This window comes from Homo sapiens, chromosome 10, assembly GCF_000001405.40.
Source record: "Homo sapiens chromosome 10, GRCh38.p14 Primary Assembly".
NCBI classification, from domain to species: Eukaryota; Metazoa; Chordata; class Mammalia; order Primates; family Hominidae; genus Homo; species Homo sapiens.
Window position 1 is genome coordinate 96542682 of NC_000010.11, and position 25412 is coordinate 96568093.

The 25412-nt window shown below is 37.0% G+C and overlaps 1 protein-coding gene and 1 pseudogene across 2 annotated transcripts in view; one reads left to right on the forward strand and one right to left on the reverse strand.

Moving 5' to 3' along the window:
- TM9SF3 (transmembrane 9 superfamily member 3) overlaps window positions 1-25412 on the reverse strand; it is a 68903-nt gene that overhangs the window by 24572 nt on the left and 18919 nt on the right. For both annotated transcript variants that reach the window (NM_020123.4, XM_011539976.3), the window contains exons 3-9: window positions 22623-22745; window positions 19297-19457; window positions 16978-17055; window positions 10247-10378; window positions 8564-8730; window positions 5214-5308; window positions 1395-1525 (exon numbers count right to left, since the gene is read on the reverse strand). In NM_020123.4, coding sequence (NP_064508.3) covers window positions 1395-1525; window positions 5214-5308; window positions 8564-8730; window positions 10247-10378; window positions 16978-17055; window positions 19297-19457; window positions 22623-22745 — 887 coding nt within the window. The remainder of the gene's footprint in view (window positions 1-1394; window positions 1526-5213; window positions 5309-8563; window positions 8731-10246; window positions 10379-16977; window positions 17056-19296; window positions 19458-22622; window positions 22746-25412) is intronic.
- Window positions 17409-18541, forward strand: NPM1P26 (nucleophosmin 1 pseudogene 26; annotated as a pseudogene).

The following is a 25412-nucleotide window of genomic DNA, read 5'->3' on the forward strand; positions in this document are numbered from 1 at the left end:
GTACTTTCTGATGGCCTGGAACTATTACAAAGCAAATTATTTCCCTGTCTGGTGTAATTAGTTACCTTTCCCTTTTCTAAGCATTATCACTTACTTTGGCTTGAAAAAAAAAAATTTCCATTCTGAAACAAGTTTCAAAATATTCCTAACTAAAAGGTATTAAATATTTAATAAAAATGTATAATATTCAATGTGTCTTTGAAAAAAATTGGACTATAAAACAAAGTCACCTGGAATTTTTGGGAAACTATTTGTTAACTCCCATATAATAGAAAGAAAACCCAAACAAGATTAAAACAGATATTGTGGGCTCTAATGGCAGTTCTACCATTAACTGCCTGTACGATTGTGACTAAGTTATTGAGGCTCTGTTAAAAGCAGTAACCACCCTGCAACTTGCATTGGCATATATACGTATGAACATGTATGCACAAGCGTACATTAAGCCTTCACTCTAGTCTAGGCCTAAAATTCTGTTTCTAGTAAAAAGGTAATACCAAGAAGAATTGGGAGACCGTGGGTTAACTCATTTTATGTGTTCTAGTTTTAATATATTTAAATAATTCAAAGCATTTCCAAGACTGTGATTACAGGTAAGATATGCAAACACATTTTAACATCTATAGCAACGTATATTATTTACAAAAATGCTTAGTGAGATTCTTTTTTTTGAGATGGAGTCTGGCTCTGTCGCCCAGGCTGGAGTGCAGTGGCGTGATCTCGGCTCACTGCAACCTCCACCTCCCAGGTTCATGCCATTCTCCTGCCTCAGCCTCCTGAATAGCTGGGACCACAGGCGCCCACCACCACACCTGGCTAATTTTTTTTTTTTATTTTTAGTAGAGACAGGGTTTCACCGTGTTAGCCAGGATGGTCTCAATCTCCTGACCTCGTGATCCACCCACCTCAGCCTCCCAAAGTGCTGGGATTAAAGGTGTGAGCCACCGCGCCTGGCCAATGCTTAGTGACTTTCTAAGAAAAGTATGTTAATACAAAAAAATGTGTCATGGAAAAGCTTTACTTTCTACCACTGCACTCACCTATCATCTTAAAACACCCATGTTTTGTGATTGTCATGATTCTTTCTCTAAAATATATTCACCAGTTCTTCCCATCTCTGATAAAAAGCTATAGTGCTCTCTTTTAAAGTCAGCCTTTCACTTTACTGGCTTACAGAATCAAGAAAAAATAAAAAGCCAACTATAGGTTTAAACTTAACCAAAATTTTATGGAGGCTAACAACAGTAGTATTCTCCTCATCTAACTTTCCAGGACTGAGTATGAACTGACTGAAACCATCAAAACATCTAATAAGAAGTATTTTGGAGGGTGAGTAGGTCTCAGTTAGAATGTGTATACTTTTTCAGTTTAAAAGTAAGATTCAAGCAACTCACCATTGTTCCAAAAGGAATGGCTCTTGAAGCATGGTAATAAATGGCTATGAAATTGATGAAGAAGGCAGTGCCACACACCATAGCTGGGATAAGGAATGCCCCAATAAACATCTGCTTTATCCATCTCCTTCCTGAAAAGAAAGGAAACTATGAAAGTTTAATATAATTATTTAGTACGAAATTATTTGTTTGAAATTTTAATATAAAGATCATGAAATTTAACATCTTAATAATTTCTTCAAAATAATAGCTAACAAATACCAAAGATTTCCAAGTACGTATAGTGAAATCACAGCTTCTGAAGTGGGTGCACTGGAAAAGAGCAATGACCTGTAATAAAATATTCTGACATTTTGTCTTGACTCTGCCACTGAACTGCTGTGAACTTTCATAAGCCACTCTCTCTCTCTAGGCTACAAGTTGGCCTAGAAAGGGGTTTTTATTACTGGTTTAAATTAACTGATCAAAAAAAAGAGAAAGGGGTTTTAAAACTATTCCTTGGAGTTCTGGAGCTTCTTGGCATGCCCATGAAGTCACTGGTGAAGAAAAATCCCAGGTGCCCTTACCCCTGCTTCAACCAGAACAATTACATTTTCAACAGTTACACATTGGAGTTTCATGTAAGTTTTCATTTGAAAAGCAGGTTATACTACTTTAAAAAGAAGAAAAAAGTCTAAAAACCAGTGAGTTTTTAAAAAAAGAACCTCGCAAGAAACCCACTTGTGATTTTTCAGCACCCTAAGACAGGGCAAAAAAAAAATTAAACGTGAAATAATAAAAAACAAAAAACCCTGAGTTAGACAGCCTCTAAGTTTGTCCTTAGCTCTAAAATTATAATTATAAATATGTATTTAAGAGCATTTCTACGTTTGAAAAGAAAAAAAACCAATGTGTTTCATAAGCTCTCTCTCAGCAATCAGAACTACAGATTTATAAGTTTTACTATTTCTCTGTACCTCTGTGTATTGCCAAAATTCTATACATTGAGCTTCTATTATTCAAATAATCAAGGGAACAAATTTTTTAACTATGTAATAAAAAAATCTTCAATTTTGCTCATACAGACCAGAAGAGCAACAGAGAGCTGTCTTTCTAATACAGCAGAGGGTAAAGCTGGCAGAAAATATCTTCAAACAGCTTAGAAACACTGAATCACTATCAAAATTCAATTCCACAATCATAAGCAACAGGGACCCAAACAGAAAGTACCATAGAAAAATAAGCAATACTCTAATTTTTGCTTTCTGCTATATAAAGTTCTTTTAAAACATCTGTTACAGAATTATTACCTAAAATCATAACGTTCCTCCAGAAAAACTCCTTAATCCTGAGTTTTCTCTCCTGTTTCATTTCTTTTCCAGCTAAGTTTCAAGAACCTCTCCTTTCTAACTGATAGCCAGCATTGGAACAATACAAAAAGGTGGTGATTAATTAAAGTATTACTTCTATTTAATTCCAACACCTTTCTAGCATTTTCTTTTCCTGCATTTTCCACTATCTTCTCAGATTCAGACATGTATCAACAAAACTGTGGCCGGGCGTGGTGGCTCATGCCTGTAATCCCAGCACTTTGGGAAGCTGAGGCGAGCAGATCACCTGAAGTCAGGAGTTCAAGACCAGCCTGGCCAACGTGGTGAAACTCCATCTCTACTAAAAATAAAAAATTAGCCGGGCATGGTGACACGCGCCTGTAATCCTAGCTATTGAGCAGGCTGAGGTAGGAGAATCGCTTGAACCCAGGAGGTGGAGGTTGCAGTAAGCTGAGATCGTGCCATTGCACTCCAGCCTGGGAGACAAGAGCGAAACTCCATCTCAAAATCAATCAATCAATCAATCAATCAATCAATCTCCTTATCCAACTCTCTATTTCTCCCTTTCCTTCTAACAGTCAAAAAGAATCCTGTACACATTCCACTGGGTACAACCAGTAACCCAAGTATCTGCATTGCTGTGTTTTCTACTGCTCTTCAAACCCTTGAAGTCTCTGGCTAAGGTCCTGGATACCACTGGCTTCAAACTAGATCTACAGCATTATAGTGCACTGAGGACAGTGTGAAGACCTTGAGCTTCACTGTAGTTCAAATCCTGAGATAAGTCTGAAAAATTATTGATCCCCTGGGTTGACTTCTACATTAACCTGGTTTTTGAGGCTTGATCGGACAAAATATCAGGACACTATCAGATCTCCTCAGGACACTACCAATCAGAACATAATCTTTACATTACATTTTGTAAGACTTGATATTCCTAGACCTGAGCCTGAACTCTGTCAGCTTTCAAGAATAAGTGTAGTAAAGGAAAGTTGGGCTGGGTGTTCTTAACTTGCAGTCAGACTAAAAACAAATTTATGTCCAACTTTAAATAAATTTCCTGTTTTAAATAAATCTGTTTCTGCTGTGGAGACTATTTTGAGAGTCATAAACTAAAATTTTAGCCTAATTAATTTCCAGGTCAAATTCAAAGTAGAAGTTGCCTCATGTGTCCTTATTTCCTTAGGATGTAGTCCTATATGATAGGACTAATTTCCCACACCTGCGAGTCGAATTTAGAGACTGAACATCTACCTAAAATAGTCAGGAACCCATAGTGACACTCCCTCAGTCAATCCAAATAATTATCTATACTGAAGGTACAGGTCACATTAAGTCTAGGAAGATTAATAAAAAAGCAATGGTAAACCAAGATATAATCCTACGCTCCGATTTCCTATAACCTATAAGTGTGCCCAGTCTACTAAAAGAAGGCAGGATCCCCTAATGCTGACACTGCTTAAGATGGGCTGTGGAAAATCACAACTCCATCCTTGGAAATATAATTTTAAGGTATTTCAACAACACTTCATTCATAAACTAAAATGCAAATCTACCAATTTTTGTACTTTTCTGACCTCAGACTACTGCAGGGAATACAAGGCATTTCTGAATGCCACTGCAGAAAAAAACACCAAGGAGCAGTATCCTTGTATTATCGTGTTATTAGTTCCATCAATTTCAGGTAATAGTAGTAAAGGAGCAACAGGATATTTAAGACAAAGTGCTCTTAGCAAGAGACTGTGACAGTGACAAAGAATAGCAGAAATCTTTGCGAAGGGTCCTTTGATAAAACTAACAGTCAACAGAAATACATAACTTTCCTTCCTATTCTCTTTCCATTGTCCAGAAACTTTACCCACAGACCATTACACATGCCTTTATATTCATCTATAAAGCTTTTTTTCTGTGTGGATGCATCACATGGAGCACATCTAGAGCCAGGCACCTCAAAGCAAATAGTATCAATAACTTAAATGCACTCTCCTACATGTTCCTCAGGGCAAATTACATGGTGCACAAAGGAGATTATCTACTAATTATTCATAATTTTAGGAAATAAAACGCGAGAATTCCACAAAAGCAAGACAGAACACACAATAGGTTTGGTAGAAATTATGTGAAATGAGATAACAAAGAATTTTACAATGGCTGTTCTGCACATTTTAAATTCCAAATATCTCACAGTAGGCCAGACACTTTGGGAGGCCGAATCACTTGAGGTCAGGAGTTCACAGCAGCCTGGCTAACATGGTGAAATCTCATCTCTACTAAAAACACAAAATTAGCTGGGCATGGTGGCACACACCTGTAATTCCAAGCTACTCAGGAGGCTGAGGCACGAGAATCGCTTGAACCCAGGAGGTGGAGACTGCAGTGAGCAGAGATTGCACCACTGCACTCCAGCCTGGGTGATGGAGTGAGACTCTCTCAAAACAAACAAAAAAAATCTCATAGTAAAATATTAGCATCTATAATTAACAACATGAAGTGAGAATTCGTAAGTTACCTCCTTGTCTAGCATACAGACTTCCTCCAAAATAACCATTCACTGGAGACGTAGCAGCATAGACAAATATGGCTGTACTGAGCATTGATCCCCTCCTAAAAAGGCAAAAAAGAAAAAAAAAATTAAAACCAACAATTTAAAGAAAACATCATAGTCTATTATATTAGCATTAGTTTAATTTCAAAGATAACTTTAACAGAAATACAAAAATATCACAACCTGGACTACAAATAAAACTCAAAAGATTCTCTATAGTGAATGAATTTGTAGTTAAAACTGCATTTACATGATACCTGGCTGATCCTAATTTTTTTATCCTGCAGTTAAATGTTATGATATATTCTAAGCAAGTATTTCATATTTATTTGGCAAAAATACTAGAAGCTGACACTAAAACTGTTTTGTGACCCTGTAAACCAATCCCATAATATGGAACAAGATGTTCATCTGTTAAGAAAAATGACTGGAATAGTCTGTTTCATAACTTGATTCAACTGCTTATGAATCTTGCCTGCAAACAGAAATAAAACAGTAGTATAATCTATATTAAATACTATTATTTTAGATGGAATAACACTGAGGCTTTCCCTGTTTCCCTCATGCTGCTGAAAATGATTTTTAGGCCGCGCACAGTGGCTCACACCTGTAATCCGAGCACTTTGGAAAGCCAAGGTGGGCAGATCACGTGAGGTCAGGAGTTTGAAACCAGCCTGGCCAACATGGCAAAACCCCGCCTCTACTAAAAATACAAAAATTAGCCATGTGTGATGGCAGGTGCCTATAATTCCAATTACTCGAGAGGCTGAGGCAGGAGAACTACTTGAACCTGGGAGGCAGAGGTGGCAGTGAGCCAAGAACGCGTCACTGCACTCCAGCCTGGATGTCAAAGCAAGACTCCATCTCAAAAAAAAAAAAAAAAAAAAAAGTAAAAATGTAAAAATTAAAATCAGACATACGATTTTAAAAAAGTCTATAGGTCCTTCACTTCTTTGTTCACAAATATTCTATGGGCATTCCCTCCCCATGTCCCTCAAGTAAACCATTTTTATCTACATTGAAAAATCTGCTGAGGGAGGCAACAGTCCTCCTTATTCATCTCTCCAAGATGGGATGTGGGGAACATCTGAAGAGGTATTTAGCCTACACCTGCCACAGCCTTACCACTCTCCAGTGAAAACTTTCAGAGTAGCAGCAGCAGCACTAACAAGCTTACTCCTCACCTTCTCAAACTCTATGCCTTCTCAATATCACACTATAACAGGCACCCACACTGATACTGATCCTCTACCTTATACCCTCAAAATACTTTTCCTCTGATTGCTATAGTGACCACAGAGGCAAAGTAATTTTTACTTTACATTATCTGCTCTTTATCCTTTAGAATCATTCCTATTCAAGTGACTTATCCCAATTTTGTGTGCAAATTTTTCATTTTCTCACCACTTTGTATTATTATTTTCTCTATTTTCATTTCCGTAACATAGCAAATTAAGAAAAGAGTTCTGGAATAAGATTGCCTAGGTTCCAATCCCAGCTCACTAACACTCTTTACTAGTAAAGGGTGCTCATTGATCTCAGTCAGATTATTTCTCTGAGCTTTAGTGTCCTGGTCTGTAGAATGGAAATAGAATATTTCCTTCATAGGGTTGATGTGAAGATTAAGGGATCAAATGTGCATGAAACACCTAAAGTGAAATCTCAATAAGTTGGCCACTTTTATATAATAATAAATCCTTAATGCTTTAGTACTTACATAAGTAATGAATTACATTCACTTCAAATAAACACAACACAGAAAAACCACTTACAGTAATTATAGGCTAAAATAACAATGCATGACTTGCCTGCTAATATTATACATTAGTGAGTGGTTTCTTATTTATAAAAGTTGAAGGTCTTTAAGTAGAAGAGCTTCTGCATTTTAAAAAAAAAAAAAAAAAAAGAGCTGCCGAATTGTAACACTAACATTTTGAAAAGGAAGCAGCAAAAACTTGGATTCTAGAAGAGATTATCTTCTAGTGGCTCTTAAGACTGTGACAGTACAGCTAGTGTCAATTCGATAGTGATTAACTTAATCCAGTGTTTAATGTAAAGCACAACTTCTTGGTAGATGTGAAATGTTTTCTTATATTTAGGGTCCAGCTTATCTGAAATACATTATGCCCGAAAATATGAACTACTCGCCAGAACTCTGAAGTTTAGATTTGGGTTATTTTAAAGCTCATGCGGTAAATGAATTAGAAAGGTTATATTAAAGAAATACAACCAATGCTACAGAGAAATAGCTTTGTTGGTTAATACATATTCACTTCAGTTCAACAAGCATTGACTGAATACCTTCCACATGCAAAGCTCCTTATGTAGGTACTTTGAGAATTCAAAGGTAAGTTATGACCTGATCCTTACTCTCAAGGAACTTACTATCTAGCAGAGGAAACAAATATTTAGTATACAGTTAAATATTTAATATGCAACTAAAGAGCCATTCTTTCAGCAAGGATGTATTGCTTGCCCATCAAACGCCAGGCATATAGAGGAAAGAGTGCATTATGAACTAAAACAGAGGCATGAAATATAACTAGAGAAAAGTGTCATTCTGAAGGAGGACTTCATATGGCCGCACCTGAAATGCCTGAATTATAATCGCTACCACCCAGGCACCAGAGTGTGTTTGCTTCACAGAGGTTGTGGCTTTCTTGAGCACTGAATAGGGACCTGAGATCTTCTGTGAATGTGTAACTTTTTCACATAATTCAAAGACCTCAAATTAAGAATTTCTTACAAATGGTTTTGTTTGCAAAGAAAGAATTACAAAACTTGTGTCAAGATAGGATGCATACTGACCTAGGAGTTTTTTTTTCAAAGAAGTCATCAATTATTTTTCTAACCTTATGTGACTATTTCATCACTCTTTTTACTATTATTTACAATGTTTTCTTCTACTCTGATGTTTTCCAGATCTGAAGGTAAATATGAAGTAACTTAGTAACTGAAATTCTTGAACTTCTGATGAAGCTCTAATTGGATCTTCAACTTTAGGAAAAAAAAGGCTATTTACTTTGTCAAACAGCTCTGGATTGAAAGTAACCTCTGTTCATATCTTTAATGGAACATATAACCTTTATAACTAACCACAATGTTCAGTAATGCTACTAAGTTTTGGCATGTAACAGAAAAATACAGATTACTGTTCATTATTTAATTTGTCTGTCTGCATTTATGATATTTATCATAAACTGTAAGATAAAGGAAATAAGTAACGATTTAATTATGATTGACTTAAAAGATTCCAGTGATTAAAACTATTTAAGAACAATAAAGACATAATACAGTTAAGTGTAGGCACTTACTCAGTATATAAATCTTCTATCATTGCAACAATAATAACGATGAGAGACACAGCAAATATCTGACATCCAGAACCAATCAGAGAGGAAAATATCAGTGGGTGACTTGATGGTCTAAATACATCTCCATGCACCTGTTTCCATCCATATTCATCTCCTAGGTCTCTATCCTATATACAAATATATATATAGAGAGAGAAAAGCAAATCATTCAGAATCAAACTAAAACATAGTATGTAAAAATTACAGTTGTAAGTTTCCTCCCTCCAAATTTATAGCTAAAGAAATACAAAATATTGAGAAAGTATATTCCAAACTTAGAATGATCACTGCCTTAATAACAATGTTAAAATGCTGAGGTTCAGGAAGTTGACTTCTGGTTGTGCTCAGAGAATCTCAAATAACGGAAAAAGAAAAGGTTTAGTAACAAAAAGAAATGGTCAAATTGGGAGAACAGTGCACTGACTCTCTTAATGCCACTTTCAGACACTATTCTTGCTATTCACATCATAGCTGTAGCTCATATACAATCAGGGGCTAGGTGGAGAAATGAAAGAGAAGAGTATCAAAACCAGTACTAGATCCCCTAAGAATGCAGAAATGTCCTTTAGCGCCTAGAATCTAAGAAAACATATGGGGGAAATATTCAATATGAATGTTTTTATTTAACAGTCTATATGCATTTTTTTAAAAAGAATTCAATTTTTACTTTGCAACCTTAGTAAGCAAGTGCTCCTTAAACAGTTTCTAACACAGCTTGTTTCTAAAACAATATTTCCTAAGGAATAGAAGTCCCTCAAGGTAATCTGTTTTGGTGGGGAGAATCCTAATCAGATACAGTTAAGAGGTACCAAATGCTTTATCCACCCTCTGATACTTCACAATATACCCTAGTATATTAAAATTTAAAATTTGAAACTATTTCCCAAGCCAGGCACGGTGGCTCACACCTATAATAACAGCACTTTGGGAGGCCAAGGCAGGAAGATCGTTTGAGGCCAGGAGCTCAAGACCAGCCTGGGCAGCATAGTGAAATTATCTCTACAATAAATAAAAAAATAGCCAGGGGTGGGGGCTTGTTCCTGTATTCCTAGCTACTCAGGAGGCTGAGGTGGCACGATCACTTGAGCTCTTGAGTTTGAAGTTACAGTGAGCTATGATCGCACCACTACACTCCAGCCTGTCTCTTAAAACAAATTTCCTAAATTTATTTAATGATACAGTATACCTATACCGAATATCCATTAGCTAGCACTCTATGTAACACACTTTTTGTTCTCTAACTTAGTAAAAGAACTTAGAAAACAAATCTTTCCTCTGAACCCACTAAACTGAACATAAATTAATCCTTCTACCCATTCCCTGAATTTTAAGCAGTATTTAACAGTATTAGACATATTCTTACTTGGTGGCAAAACTTGGCTTGAACTAACAAGAGGTTACACTATTTATTTATCCCACTTCGGGTGAATGTTCTTATGTTTTCCTGAAAAAAAATTAATATTATTTGATTACAGGGCATGGTTACAGACCACACTGGGCATTTTACATCTTTCTTAACTCTAAAAATCCTGAATTGTGGAAACTCAAAGACTTCCGGTAAGAAATTATGACCTACCTCCCAACATTTAAAACTTAACACTCAGTTAAAATGTTTCTACAAATATAATGTAAATGTTTACTCACCATATCATCCATTTCTTCCTCTTTACTGTACCGAGCATAATCTTTTCTTAATGTTCTCATTAAAATCATTGAAACTAAGCCCACCAAGAAGATCACCATCATGAAGGAGTTGAAAATTGAAAACCAATGAATCTAAAATAACAGAAAATAAAATGTTACCAACCTGCAATATCAGCCACAAAATTCATAGGTTCCATGAGGACAACCGGATGTTAATGCAAAGAAAAAAAAAAGTCTTTAATTAAATCCTTTAGACAAAAATCCAAATTTCAGACACTTTGAGGATGAGTATTCATTATGCCAAGGGGATTGGCTTTCTTTACAATAAGCACCCATATGTTGAAAACATGCTATCATTTATATAAATTTTCAAAATCAAATTTATTGTTAAAAACAAAAAGTACAATTTGGCCATATAACCTATGCTATTCAGCATTACATGGAAAAAACATGGGCTCTGGAGTCAAACATTGCCAGTTTCTGACTATGTGACCGCGGTTTTCTCATCTGGAAAATGGAGGAGCTAATACTTATCTTGTAAGTGATTTGTAGGGCTTAATAATGTATATATAAAGTATGGCACCTTAGATACTCAGTAAATGTTAGTTCCCTTCCCCCTAATTGAACAATCTGAAAACCTCCTTAAAATACTAAGACTAAACTATTATAGCTGGCTGCCATGGACTTAGGTCACCATCCTGAATGATTTGCTTCACTTGCTCCAGATTAGTTCATCCTCACCCTGTCACCATCATAATTCAGCCCTTTCCAAATCCATTTTCCATAGCATATTGAGGTATCCTTTAGTTCCTCAATGTTCTTGAAGCTCTTGGCTTTGATTTTATCCACATATTTGTTTCAATATTACATCTAGATTCTGATTCATAATCACAAGGTACTACTCAAAATGTAGCATATCTGATTTGAACTAGGTCTGTGGCACTGCCCAGTTATTTCTTTATTTACATTTTAATTCCCAAAAGATCTTTAGGGATAGTCCCCAAATTTCTCTCCTCTCTTCAAGGCCCCAATGCCATCCTTTCTGCTGCCTTCCCTTGAAGCAAATCCTGTCTTCTATGACACAACCTTTCCACATCCAGTTTTGAGGTGTTTTTTCTCCTCTCATTTTGCATCCCAACCCCTCCACCTTTCACCAGCCATCAGCAATCTCCAAAGGTCCTTATCTACAATGATGTCTACTCCCTGGGGTTGTCATAGAGTTTAAACAATAAAGGTAAAGCAAATAGTATAGTGCCTGGCACATCATAAACACTAAATAAAACCTAAAAGTTATTGTTATTGCTATTATTCTCTTTTGAAGTGTTTGCTTCATCTTTTGTCCCTCATTCTTTTCATCTTCTCACCTCCCGATCCTTTCAATGTCAATACTTTTCAAAGAAGACATGTTCCAGTTCTTCCCTCACTTCCTCCAAAACACAATACAATCTCACTTTTGCCCCACAAAATTTCTCTCAAAGGCCTGCAATGAACTTCTAAACCGATTCAGCAGCCAATTATCTGCCTCACTCTCCTTGATCTCTCTGCCACATCTGACCTTTCCTGACACTACAGCATCCTACTTCACTGACCGCTGCTTCTCCTCTTTCATCTTCCATGCTGGCTCCTCCCATCCTTTGTGAACTTCTCCAAAAGCTCCAGTCTTAGTACTCTGCTGTGACTTCTTTAGGCTCTCAGAACTTTTAACCAGCATTCCAATGATGATGATAACACCCTCGCCCCCACCTCCCATCCCACCCCAAATTGCTAGTCTTCTTTCTCACTCATGTTTCAGGCTTTTGCTAACTACAATAATTTCCACTTGAATGTTTCTGGAATTGCAGACTCAGACTGCCCTAAAGTACACTCATAATCTTCCACCTCATATATAACACTTGTTTCTGATTCTCTAACTTCTGCTAATGGTACTAACATGTGGCTTTGAAATTTTACAATTATCTCTGGCTCTTCCTTCTCCTTAATTCTTCATAGGTAATATTAAGCATGTATTTTTCTTCAAAATGACTTGTATCTATCCATTCTGCTTCATTCCCATGCCATCACCTCATACCTTGATAGCACTAATGGCCTCCTGGTTGGCCTTTTTTTTTTTTGGTCTCTCCCCTTCCTTTCAATTTATCCTGTAAAAAGCTATCAAGGAAATCTTTCCAAAGCAGGTTCATATATCACTCCTCTATTCTAAAATTTACAGTTGTACACCCTATTTCTCTCATATCAAATCTAAACTATTTTCTCCAATATTCTATACTTCCTGTAATATGGCCATCTCACCTTATCTAGTCAACTTTTCTTTCCATTATATTCTATATTCCAATAAGCCTTATCCCTCTTCAAGAATCCACAAGCACAGCATACTCACTTCCACCTCTGTATTTTTCTTATAATTTCTTCTCACATAGATCTACTTCTACTCCCCTTAGCAAATTCTACCCAGTCTTCATATTCCAACACAAGTACCTTCCCCTCCATGAAACCTCTTATCTACATATTCCGGTTCTTCATAGATATCCTCCTGCTCTAAAATTCTACAGGTACATACATATGCATTGCTGTGTATGATTAGGACATATGTTAACTTGGGCTAACGTGCTGAATATGTGCATGAAACTGAAGGGCAGTCCAGGCTCTGTTATCCACCCTGAGGTTTCAGGAACGAGATAAACTCTATGGATCTTCTTGAAAAACAGGAGACAGCCTCTTCAGAAGACTATTCCTTACTTCATTCAACAATTTATTTATTGAGCATCCAGTAAAATTATAAAGGAACCAAGAAATGCATTGTTTTTTGAAATGTTTGCTCAAAAAAGGTTATATAAATCTGAGTTTATTGTAAAAGTATCATTTAAGGTTCATAAAAGCAGTCTATGATTTTCCAAAGATTTGATTTTGTTCCCACCCTGAGATGTTAACCCAGAAAAGCTCAAGAGGGAAAGAAAAATGACACATACCATCTTTTAGTCAATTTATCAAATTTTTTAAAATAAAAGAAGTTTTATATAGTTACTAGTAACTATACTAATTAGACACACATAAAATGTTGTAATTTCTAACAAGGCTCTGCTATTTTCTAATCTAAGATATACACTATTATAATGTAGTAATAACCTGAAATTTTGTAATATTCCTTTATTCTAAAAATTATGAGATGTTGTATAATTGTGAAATTATTATACCAGGGAAAATACTTCTTAAAAATAAAGAAACCTGGTGTCACAAAGGGGTTTACTAACCCTACTAATGCTGCATGCCAGCACCCTCTAGTGTCACTAATCCTGAAGCTGCACCCTCAATTTGTCATAAATTTAGAATGCAACTGGAGATAAATAACTATACCAACAATACTGCCTCTTACCTGCTATGTGCCAAACACTGAACTAGGTGCTTTATATCAACGTGAAATTCCCCAACAGCTCTGCAAGGTACTATAATCCTTGCTTCACTATTAAGGGAACAGAAGCTGAAGAACTGAATCATTTAACCAAGGTCATAGTAAGCGGCAAAGCATCAGTTTGAATTCAGCTTTAGCTCCTTTGCCTGTGCTATTAGTCACTGTATTAGAAGCAATTCTTATACTTGTACAGTACATCATATCCCTTCCTTCTACTTAAGGAAAACGATGCAGTATTTCTCTCCTTTTTCTCCTGCATTGCCAGTTTTGCAATCTCCACTGAACCCCATCAGCATATAAAGTTAATGTTTTTCTTACATTTAAAAAAAAAAGAAAGAAAAATCTCCTAATTCCATTTTCCACACTGGCTACTGCACCATTTCTTTGCTCCCTTTAGCAGCCAAGCTCCTCACAAGTCCATAATTGCCGTCTCCAATTCCTCTTTTCCCATTCTCTCTTACAGCAGCTCTGTTCAGGTTCTGAATGCCCCACCATTATACCAAAATCGTTGTCAAGTTCACCAATGACTTCAGGTTAATCCAATAGTCACTTTTCAGTGCTCATCTTACTTGACCCATCAGCAAAAATTCAGAGCTAATCTCTCTATCCTCCATGATACACTTTCTTCTCTTGGCATTCAGAACACCATACTTTCCCCTCCCCCGCAAAGCCCTTAACTGAACTCCCCTGTTCTTCCTAAACTCTTACTACTGCACCCAGGGCTTAGTCCTTGGTCCTCTTCTCTCTCTACATCTCCCTTCCTTAGCAATTATTACATCCAGTCTCATAGCCACAAATATGATCTATATGCCAATTGCTGCAAAATTTGTATCTCTAGCCCAGACCTCTCTCCTGAACTCCAGAACTGATATATCCAATTTGCCGGTCAATATCTCCATTTGGATATCGTACAGACACACCAAAACGAACATGTCCCAAACTGTACCCTAATCTTCCCCTCTAAATCTCCTCCAAATACAGCCCCAGTGATGTCAGCTCCACTCAGACTGAAAACCCTAGAGTTTGTCTCAACCCTTCTTCACCTTCCTATCAATCACGAAATGCCGCCAGCTTTAACTTCAAAATATACTCACAATCTAACATCTTTTCATCACCTACCCTGCTACCACCCTTGACTTCCTGAACCCACATAATAATTTGATCCTTTAAAAACAAAAGTCAGATTTGTTACCCCCCTGCTGAAAACACTACAGTGCTCCCCTGCCCCCTTTGCATTTAAGAGTAAAATCTGCAGTCCTTAAAATGACCATGGATAATCTGGCTCCTGCTACCTCTCTGACTTCATCTTCTTGCTAGTCCTCAAACCACAGTAAGCATATCCTCACTTTAATAGGCTTTTCAATGGTGTTGCCTCCACCTGGAATACTCTTTCCCCTAAATATCCACATTCTTTATTTCCTTCAACTCCTTCAAGCTTTTGCTCAACAATCCATTTCAGAGGCTTACCTTGACTACATAATATAAAACTGCAACTTACCCGACCCCTGGTACTCTTGTTCTGCTGTCTACTTTTTCTTTTTTGACACACTTCTCTTTGAATAAAGTGTGTTTTACTTATTGTGTTTATTTCACGTCTCCTTGACTAGAACGTAAGTTCCTAGAGGGTATAGATCTTTGCCTTTATTTTCTAATGTATCCTACTTACCTAATACAGTGCTTGGCAGATAGCAGGTGCTCAATTAATATGTGTTGAAGTAATAAATACAGTATACCATTCCATAGTGAAAATACTAAAAGGCAGTCTTTCCCCTAAGTTGTCAATGTCCAGTGGGGCTAGAATCAAGGCAGACCTAAGAGTTCCAGTAGTGAGTGCCAGTTAAGAGCCTTCATATTCTCAAATGTTATCTAAATCTTGAAATTATCTGTGTCCATACCCTATTGAAGATTGCCTGAGCATTATACTCGAGGAGAACACACAGCAGGTGGGGTTGAGGTGGGGATTGAGGTAGGGGAAAAATTTTAGCTCCAAGAGTAGTATGCTAAATCCTTCAGTAAAGACAATCCAGGCAGGGCGCGGTGGCTCACGCCTGTAATCTCAGCACTTTGGGAGGCTAAGGGCAGGTGGATCACTTGAGGTCAGGAGCTCAAGACCAGCCTGACCAACATGGTGAAACCCCACCCCTACTAAAAAAAATACAAAAATTAGCCGGGCATGATGGTGTGTGCCTGTAATCCCAGCTACTCGGGAGGCTGAGGCAGGAGAATCGCTTGAACCAAGGAGGCGGAGGTTGCAGTGAGCCAAGATCATGCCACTGCACTCCAGCCCAGGGGACAGAGCAAGGCTCTGTCTCAAAAAAAAAAAAAAAGACTAAATTCCAAATAGCTTAATTGTTAAAATCTCTGACCCCTGAGTAAGATCAGAAGTAGTGATAGGTTCCGGTAGAGTCTAAGAATGGAACCTAACAGTAATATGTAAATCTGAGACAACAAAAACTTACGGGCCATCTCAAAAATAGGTGATTAATAAACTTTAAAATTCTAGTCCAAAAGATTAGATCAAAAGAAAGAAGCAACAATTCAGGAAGAAATTCAGAAGAAGGGATACCCTTATGCCTTGTCTTTTTATCTCCATCCTTGAGGAGGAAACCACCAAAACAAAGTGTGATTTTTGCTATAAAGAATCAAAACTACCTGTACAAAACCAACACTAATGCTACCGGCTTTATGAACTAAAATTCAGCAAGTATCTGTCGGTGGGGGCTGGGGAACTGGGAGGCCATTTCTTCCCATTCTTGATGTTTCTTTCTACATGGAAGGATTTCCACAAGCAGAAATTCCTGATCTCAATCCGTTCTCTCATTACCTCCTTCTGATGCATACATTCTGTTCTTTCTCACACCGTAAGTTGTATAAGGGCAAGTGCCCATGTAGGGAAGCCTATAATATACTCTCTGAGTGTGTTAAGTCTAATTCTGAGTTTCAGTAGTAAGAAGCCCACTTGATCACAGATAGATATAAGCCACATTCTCCAATATTCACCTCATTAGAAGGCCAATGCGCTATTCATTGTGCAACGCAGCCATCTAATATTCACCTTATTAGTGATATTTTGGCTTCCCGTATGTTATATTCTTCGTTTATCTCTTAATTGGTTTAAACCACAAGCACAAAGAAGGAAGTTTTTGATTGCTCCTCTAAAACTCCCCATCACCCTTATGATTTCAAGCTCATACTTTAAATCACCATTAGCTAAATCTTTTAATCCACAGTCCTCAACACAGTGCCCTGCAAATGACAGATACTCAATGTTTGTTGAACGAATTGGTGCACATAATCAATGTCTTAAAATACACTATTTACCTACCCGATGTTGAAAAAAGGACGGATCAAGATATTTGTCAAATCGATCTTCAAATTTCACATCTGACTTTTTCCATTTTACCTAAAAAAAATTTTTTCATTTGAAAATAAAGGCCAGTAAACAAATTAATAATCTGATGACAAAACTCTGAGCAAAATATAGATTTACACACACTTAGAATTAAAATTCACTAGAGAAATGGAGGAAAGTTACTTACAACATGAGAAGTGGAAACGATTATGATAAAACTAATCAACTTTTCTGTTTATTGACAAAACTTAACAACTTTCCTCAGAGGGGTGATTTCAGTTCTCAAGGACTGTTTACTTTTGTTGACTTACATATTATGACCTGATAAATGTGATATGAACTGAATTAGTATAAGCTCATATCACAAGTGTCTAAATCAATTAAAATAAGAATCTGTACATCTGCCTGGTGTAATTCTGTCCTGCGTGGCTGTTCTCTTGAGCAGAAGTCATTTATCTCCGTCTGCCTTCTTTCCCACCTAAATGCGTGCTGCCACCCCATGGAAGATTCGATGGACATGGACATGAGCCCCCTGAGGCCCCAGAACTATCTTTTCAGTTGTGAACTAAAGGCCAACAAAGATGATCACTTTAAGGTGGATAATGATGAAAATGAGCACCAATTATCTTTAAGAACGGTCAGTTTAGGGGCTGGTGCAAAGGATGAATTGCATATTGTTGAAGCAGAGGCAATGAATTATGAAGGCAGTCCAATTAAATAACACTGGCACCTTTGAAAATGTCTGCACAGCCAACGGTTTCCCTTGGGGGCTTTGAAATCACACCACCAGTGCTTTTATGGTTGAAGTGTGGTTCAGGGCCAGTGTATATTAGTGGACAGCATTTAGTAGCTGTGGAGGAAGATGCAGAATCAGAAGATGAACAGGAGGAGGCGAAATTCTTAAGGATATCTGGAAAGTGATCTGTCCCTGGAGGTGGTAGCAAGGTTCCACAGAAAAAAGTAAAACTTGCTGCTGATGAAGATGATGATGATGATGATGACGATTTTGATGAGGAAACTAAAGAAAAACCACCAGTGAAGAAATCTACATGAGATAATCCAGCCAAAAATGCACAAAAGTCAAATCAGAATGGAAAAGACTCAAAACTATCAACACTAAGATCAAAAGGACAAAAATCCTTCAAAAACAGGAAAAAAAATTCCTAAAACACCAAAAGGACCTAGTTCTGTAGAAAACATTAAAGCAAAAATGCAAGCAAGTATACAAAAAGTGCATTGAACAGTTCAGGGCACTACTGGTAAATTAAGCCCAAAGATGGGGAGAAAAGAAAAGGAGAGACAAATATAGTCCATACTGAGTATCATCAACAATCCAGACTGAAGTCTTCTATTTTAATCTCAATCTCCTTTTCTGATCTGCCATGGATGCCTCTTTAGGCTGGAAACAATCTCACTCTTGGTTCCCTAAAGCAGTTTCTTCTGATTGCTGTGATTCAGTGAACCTTGCCCTTTGCTTTCTATTACTTGCACATTCGCCTCTCCTCTGACCATGTTCTGAATCACCTTCGTATCTCCTTAGCTGCTCAATAAATATTTGAATGAATAATAAAAAAAAATCTGTAAATCTTTATTTTTAGACTGCATTACTTTTATTACAACTATAAAATTTTTTCATTAAGTTTAGTTATATAAGGATTATTTGCATCAGGTACATATGCACAAGGCTTGAAAAACTTTCAAAATTGACTACTAGCAATGGACTCATTCCAGCTATGAGGCAATAACTGGCAGAGGCTACCTACACTGAATTTCTCTCTCATTTTTACTATTTTTAAGCCTAAGACAACAGAAATAGCTTGACAGTTGCTAAAAGGCTCTGACAAGCTCTCACTGTGCAGGAGTATATTATTCCAACTGACAGAGCAATCCATGATAAACTACATCTATCCAGCAACTTTCAATACAGCATCACTTCTATCTGCAACATTAAAAAGGAAAGGGAAACAACATGAAGTACTGCAATCTAAAAATGTAACCATAAAAATACATGACTGGGTTAGTCTAATTACCCAGCTACAACAGTAAACTTGGCTGTACCAAATGGTTTAGCTCCTGCAAAGGCATAACTGGTATCTAATACTACAGACCTGAAGCAAATCCTCTCTTTGCTTTCAGGAGGCTTACTTACGTACACTGAGAAAATATAGTTTTAATAATATTCTGTTGCATCCCATTTCAAGCTACATTTTCATTTACTAAAGTTCAAAGCCACAAATTGTTGACATCGGGTCACAAACACTACTTCCTACATTAAACTATTTGAATACTTACTGAATATGACATCTGGATTTTAGTATTTGGAACCAGTTTCACCTTTCCTTCACTAGTTAGATTAACATCAACAATTCGATTTCCATTAAAACCTATTTCAAGTTTTTTATAGGTCCAAAGATAGTAATCTTCTCCATTTTCATCAGCCTCACCAACAATACCTACAAAAGAAAAAACACTTTATACAAGGTAAAACCACTTAATATTTAAAATATCCTACAAGCTAAATGCTCATTAAGTTTTTTTTTTTTTTTTTTTTACCTCCGCCCTCTCTCCCTCCCTGGCCACTCTTGACTCTCCCTTCACCTTCTGCCATGATTGTAAGTTTCCTGAGGTCTCCCCAGAAGCCAAGCAGATGCCGCTATGCTTCCAATATAGCCTGCAGAACCGTGAGCCAATTAAACCTCTTTTCTTTTTAAATTACATAGTCTTAGGTACTTCTTTATAGTGGTGTTAGAATGGACTAATACCACTCCCTAACATCTCAAAATTTCAGAGAAGTGCTTACATCACCATCTGCCAAGGTTACCCAGCTATTAGTGGTCAAACCAAAATTAAAATCAAGGTTTCCAGATCCCTAGTCTAGTACTTTCTCTAATAACCTATGATCTACCCATTCCCAGTAAGATGTACACATGTATATATGGGCACCAAAACTTAACATGTCTCCTTTTTATACCTCAACTGCTGGATCTGTCCCTGGGAAATCAGCAAAATAAAAGGAGTGGTGAAGATAAATGGTAATAAGGATACAGTTTAAAATTATCACTTCAATCATAATTTGGGATATTGGAAAAAAAAGATCCACAATGTTAGGGAAATATTATAGGTGGTAGCTGAGGATACATCTCTCATGCCCTCAGACTGCCAGCTATTTGTCCAATGTTCCCCACCCAAGCCTAAACAGTTCCCAATAGCTTTATGCTCTGTAAGTTACTCCTTAGGGCCTTCCCCCTACGCTTTAGTAAGTATTAGGGAAAAATATAATCATATTTATAAAATATTATTTATTAACCAAAGTGATTCTAATTGGTACAAATTCAAGGAGTATAGTTTTGTTTTGCTTGGGATTGTAGGGGATAATGAAATCCTTCTTTTATCTTTATTTGTTATTGAAACAAGGTCTCACACTCTGTCACCCAGGCTGGAGTGTAGTGACACAATCATAGCTCACTGCAGTCTCAAACTCCTGGGCTCAAACAATCCTCCTACCTCAGCCTCTAGAGTAGTTAGGACTACAGGCAAGTGCCACCACGCCTGGGTAAATGTTTTATTTTTTTGTAGAGATGAATCTCGTTATGTTGCCCAGTCTGTTCTCAAACTCCTGGCCTTAGCTTCTCAAAGTGCTGTATTACAGGCGTGAGCCACCACACTAGCATGAAATCCTTCTAATAATTAATTTTTTTTTTTTTGAGACAGAGTCTCGCTCTGTTGCTCAGGCTGGATAGAGTGCAAAGGTGCAGTCTTGGCTCACTGCAACCTCCACCCGCTGGGTTCAAGCAATTCTTATGCCTCAGCCTCCCAAGTAGCTGGGACTATAGGTGTGCACCACCATGCACAGCTAAATTTTTTGTATTTTTAGTAGAGACAGGGTTTCGCCATGCTGGCCATGGTGGTCTCGAACTCCTGGCCCCAAGTGATCCGCCCACCTTGGCCACCCAAAGTGCTGGGATTACAGGCGTGAGCCACCGCGCCCAGCCAATAATTAATTTCATTAAGGTTTATTTACCTATCTACTCTGAAAACCAGACTTTGGGGGTAAAGACATAATTATATCAAGTAAGAAGCTACTCTCTAAAAGGCGTTAAAAGACTCTGAAACCTTTACCCCACGAAAAGTCAGGTACAAAGTTGTTTTTTTTTTTTTTCTGACAAGGATTCTCCATGGTTCAGACATTCAAGGACATCCAAAAGTATTTCCCCAAACAGGGCATATTCTAAAATCCCAGGGCTATAATAAATTTAACACAGGAAAGCACAGTTGCCACTGTTGCTAACGAGCCCACAGCTGTGAATGAAAAAACCTAAAGCATGATGGCTTATCCCTATATAATCCCAGAAATTTGGGAGGCTGAGGCAAGAGGATTGCTTGAAGCCAGAAGTTTGAGATTAGTTTAAATAAAGCAAGACATCTTGTCTCTACAAACACACCAAAAAAAAAAAAAAAGAGCCAGGCATGGTGGGGTGCACCGGTAGTCCCAGCTGCTCAGGAGACCAAGGGAGAAGGATCACTTAAGCCCAGGAGTCTGAGGCTACAATGAGCTATCATGGCATCACTGCACAAACCTGTAAGCAAGGGAAAACAATAGGGAAGAAACCTGTTCTCTCAAATATGAAGGAGGCCCAAACCAATGGGTTTCCCTGAACTACAGGCTCAGAAAAATCTTCAGTGAATATTCAGCACATCTTCCTACCACTGTCAGAGCGGATCAGAGAAATGTCTGTGTTACCATAATGGTAACTGCAGTCATTTATATGATATACTAACTACATATACCTAATTAACATGCAACACAGTAATGATGATGCATATAATTATCTCTTGATATTAACTTTCTAAATTTCATCTTAGTATGATATTAAATGCTGATCTGATATGTTCAGACTTTGATAGTTTACTGCTCATGATGACAGTAATCTGCTAACAATTTTAAGCATTAGAAGAAACATTCATTATACATAACAGCAGATTTCCAGAGACAAAAGAAAGAAACAATTAGAGAAAAATGTGATCAAACATATTGGCCATGACAGCTGGCTGTGCTTTGCATTATAAATAATTTAATCAAGTCCAACATAAATGATTTTGGATTATTCATAAATTGGCATTAACTATTCCATAGCTCTTCTCCATTAATATGGATAAATAAGGGCAAAAACATAAACATTTTTTAGCAAAATAAGCCATTCAAGAAACTATCATACCAAGAAACCATACTACCACAGTACCAACATGAGAAAAAGACAGAATGAAACTTCAAAATCCTATTAGTCCCTTTAACTGTATTTAAAAGAACAAATTAAGATATGAAAAAAAATGGAAGCAGAAGAAATTTTTAGATTGTTCTAAGCACCTTCTCATTCTTGAATCTGAAAAGTTATACTATAAAAAAGTTATATTTTAGGCAAGTTTCATGTAAGGCATGGCAATGTCAAAAATTCTTCAAGCAACAGGTGACCATAAAACTGGTATTAAAATCATTCTGTAAAAAACAGTGAAAACACATTTACACCATGATCCAGTACACAATCACCTTAACAGAGTCATTTTATAAATTCTGATTATGCAAATTTTCCCAAATCTTAAATACAACATACAATACTTACCCCATATTGGTAAATCATCTATGTACATCTGGTACCAGTAATGATTTTTTATGGCATATACAAATGCATCTCTCTTTTCTTTATCTAAATCAATTTCACAGTAAGTGGCTGGCATCACATCATCTGCACAAAATAAAAATTGCAAATTAGCCCACTAGTTTGCAAAATAGTTACATTAAAAAAAAAAAAGACAAGAAAAAAGCCAACATTTCCTACAGTTAAAATTTCTATTCACAATAGCTGAATCTGAGTGATAAATAAGTGTGGGTTCAGTGTACTATTCCTCCCTTTTTTTGTGTATCTTTAAGACTTTTTATAATGAAAAAATTTTAATCATCTTTATTTTCAAACATTACCTAAGTGAAATCATCCCTTATACAAAGCAAATTATACAAGAAAATTTATAAAGTAACTTCAAAATAAATTGATTTTAAAAACAAAAAAAGCTTAAACACATAACAAAGTTTTTATTTAATATATACAAAAGCTCAAGAATATGGTCATAAACAGAGATAACCATTTGTAGCTATAAGATCTCTCTGAGATAAACACTGATTTTAACATTCTTGGAAAGACAAGTTACTGGAAGCCACAGATTCTATGAAAACACCCAGTGACTATTCATAAGCAGGAAGATTAAAAGGCAAACCTCTATTCAGCAAACATCACTGTTTATAAATTGCCTTAAAGTCCCCTCAAGATGAGTCATTTTCCACCCCGACTGCTTTCAAAGATACTGCTACTATAATTCTATTCAGATGGTTTCTAACTTAATAAACCTAGTATTTCAAAAATGTACCTGTTTCTAATAAAACAAAAGAAAATCCAAAAAACCTACAAATACTAAACATGTCAATCAAAAGAAGTTGTTTTGGTATATTAAGCAATTAGAAAAAAATTAAGAAATCATTCTGAACAAGAACAAAAAAGCAAGCACAAGTTTGTTTTTAAGTTCTATACTATATTTGTACTATAATATTGGTTATTTGAAACATGAAATGCAATTTCTCTAAAGATACATTATTAAACTTTTTATTGATCAAAAGTTCTTAAACATAAATTGTAGCTACATCATTTAGTGGCTCAAAGAAATAGCAATCTAATTTATAACTCAAGATACCCAGCAGTATGTCTCCCCAATCCTTAAGAGAGAGAGTAGCTTCCCATATTATAGACCAACCTAAAGTGGGTACCCCAAAACTACAACACCAAAGATGGCAGTAAACATTAAAGTCCCATGGAAGAATGTCAGGGAAATACCTTCTTACCCTCAAAGTATGGGAAGAAAATTAATTTGTCTCCAACAGCGACTCCCACATAGATTTTCTTTCTGCCCAAGCCCTCCTAGGCAGTAAGGAATTTAGGATTTTCATGATGGCAAAAACAAACAAACAAACAACAACAAAAAAAACCCTGAGGCTGAGCAGTGAAGCAACGGAGGGTTAAAAAATGAGATTGCTCCAAAGGGTTTCTACAGCAGGAGCTAGAAAAACTGACAGCAAGAGATCCCCAAATGGGGTCTCCAAGGAGTGTGATAATGAACAAAAGGTAGCAGGCAACTGCAGCTACGGAAGGGATATTCAGAACCAAAGGAAGGTCCAGGCTTAAGGGACAACAAATGGCCACAGTGGCAGTAGGGTACCTCACAGCTACCTCTGCAAAGCCATTGAATTCCTTGCCGTTAGAAACAAATATTCATTGATAATGGTCATTAACAATATGGTAGATTTAAGTAGGAAGCTCTAAGATATATACAGTATGGCATTTATCTGTATAAAGCCTTTTTTTTTTTTTTTTTGAGACGGAGTTTCACTCTTGTTGTCCAAGCTGGAGTGCAATGGTGAGATCTCGGCTCACTGCAACTTCCACCTCCCAGGTTCAAGCGATTCTCCTGCCTCAGCCTCCCGAGTAGCTGGGATTACAAGCATATGCCACCAGGCCCGACTAATTTTTTGTATTTTTAGTAGAAACAGGGTTTCACCATGTTAGCAGGCTGGTCTTGAACTCCTGATCTCAGGTGAACCGCCCGCCTCAGCCTCCCAAAGTGCTGGGATTACAGGCGTGAGCCACCGCACCCGGCCAATCTGTATAAAGCTTTTAAAAGATTCCTCAGAGTCTGGATTTTAGTCCAACTCTTTGTTTCCCAACTGATATATCTGCCTCTACGCTCAAGCCAAACTCAATTCCCACACACCCTGTGCTCTCTTGGCCTCTGAACTTTTTTGCTCATGCTGTTAACTCTACCTAAAATGTCCAGTCTAAAATCCTCACCATCCCCCAGCCCTTTCCTCCACAAAGGAATCCCTGACTCCCCACTCCCCACACTTCTTATACCCACTCCCATACCTCCCTTATGGCATGTAGGCCTGTACCATTTTCTACCTCATACCAGTATCTTGCTCCTCAAAAACACCATTAGGTCTTGAGCGCTTTGTCCATAACTGATTATATCCTTTTTATCTCCAGCCATGCCTGCTTCAGTACCCTGCACAGACTAGGCACTAAACAAATAAACAAAAAATTTTAAGAGCATAATTTTCTTATTTGGCAAAGGAAATCACTACACATATTAGGGTATGTACCTATACATGCATCTGTGTATGAATAGTGTGTATGTTTGTACAGAAGGAGAAAATGCCAATTTATAAACAAATGAAATTTTTGAACAGTGTCTCTCAGAAGGATTGACAAAGAGGTCTTGAAGAATAACTTTAACTCATGTAAAGTCTAGAAACGAAGCATGTTAAAAGGGAAAATCTATTATTATGACAGGCTATATAAAAAGGGTGT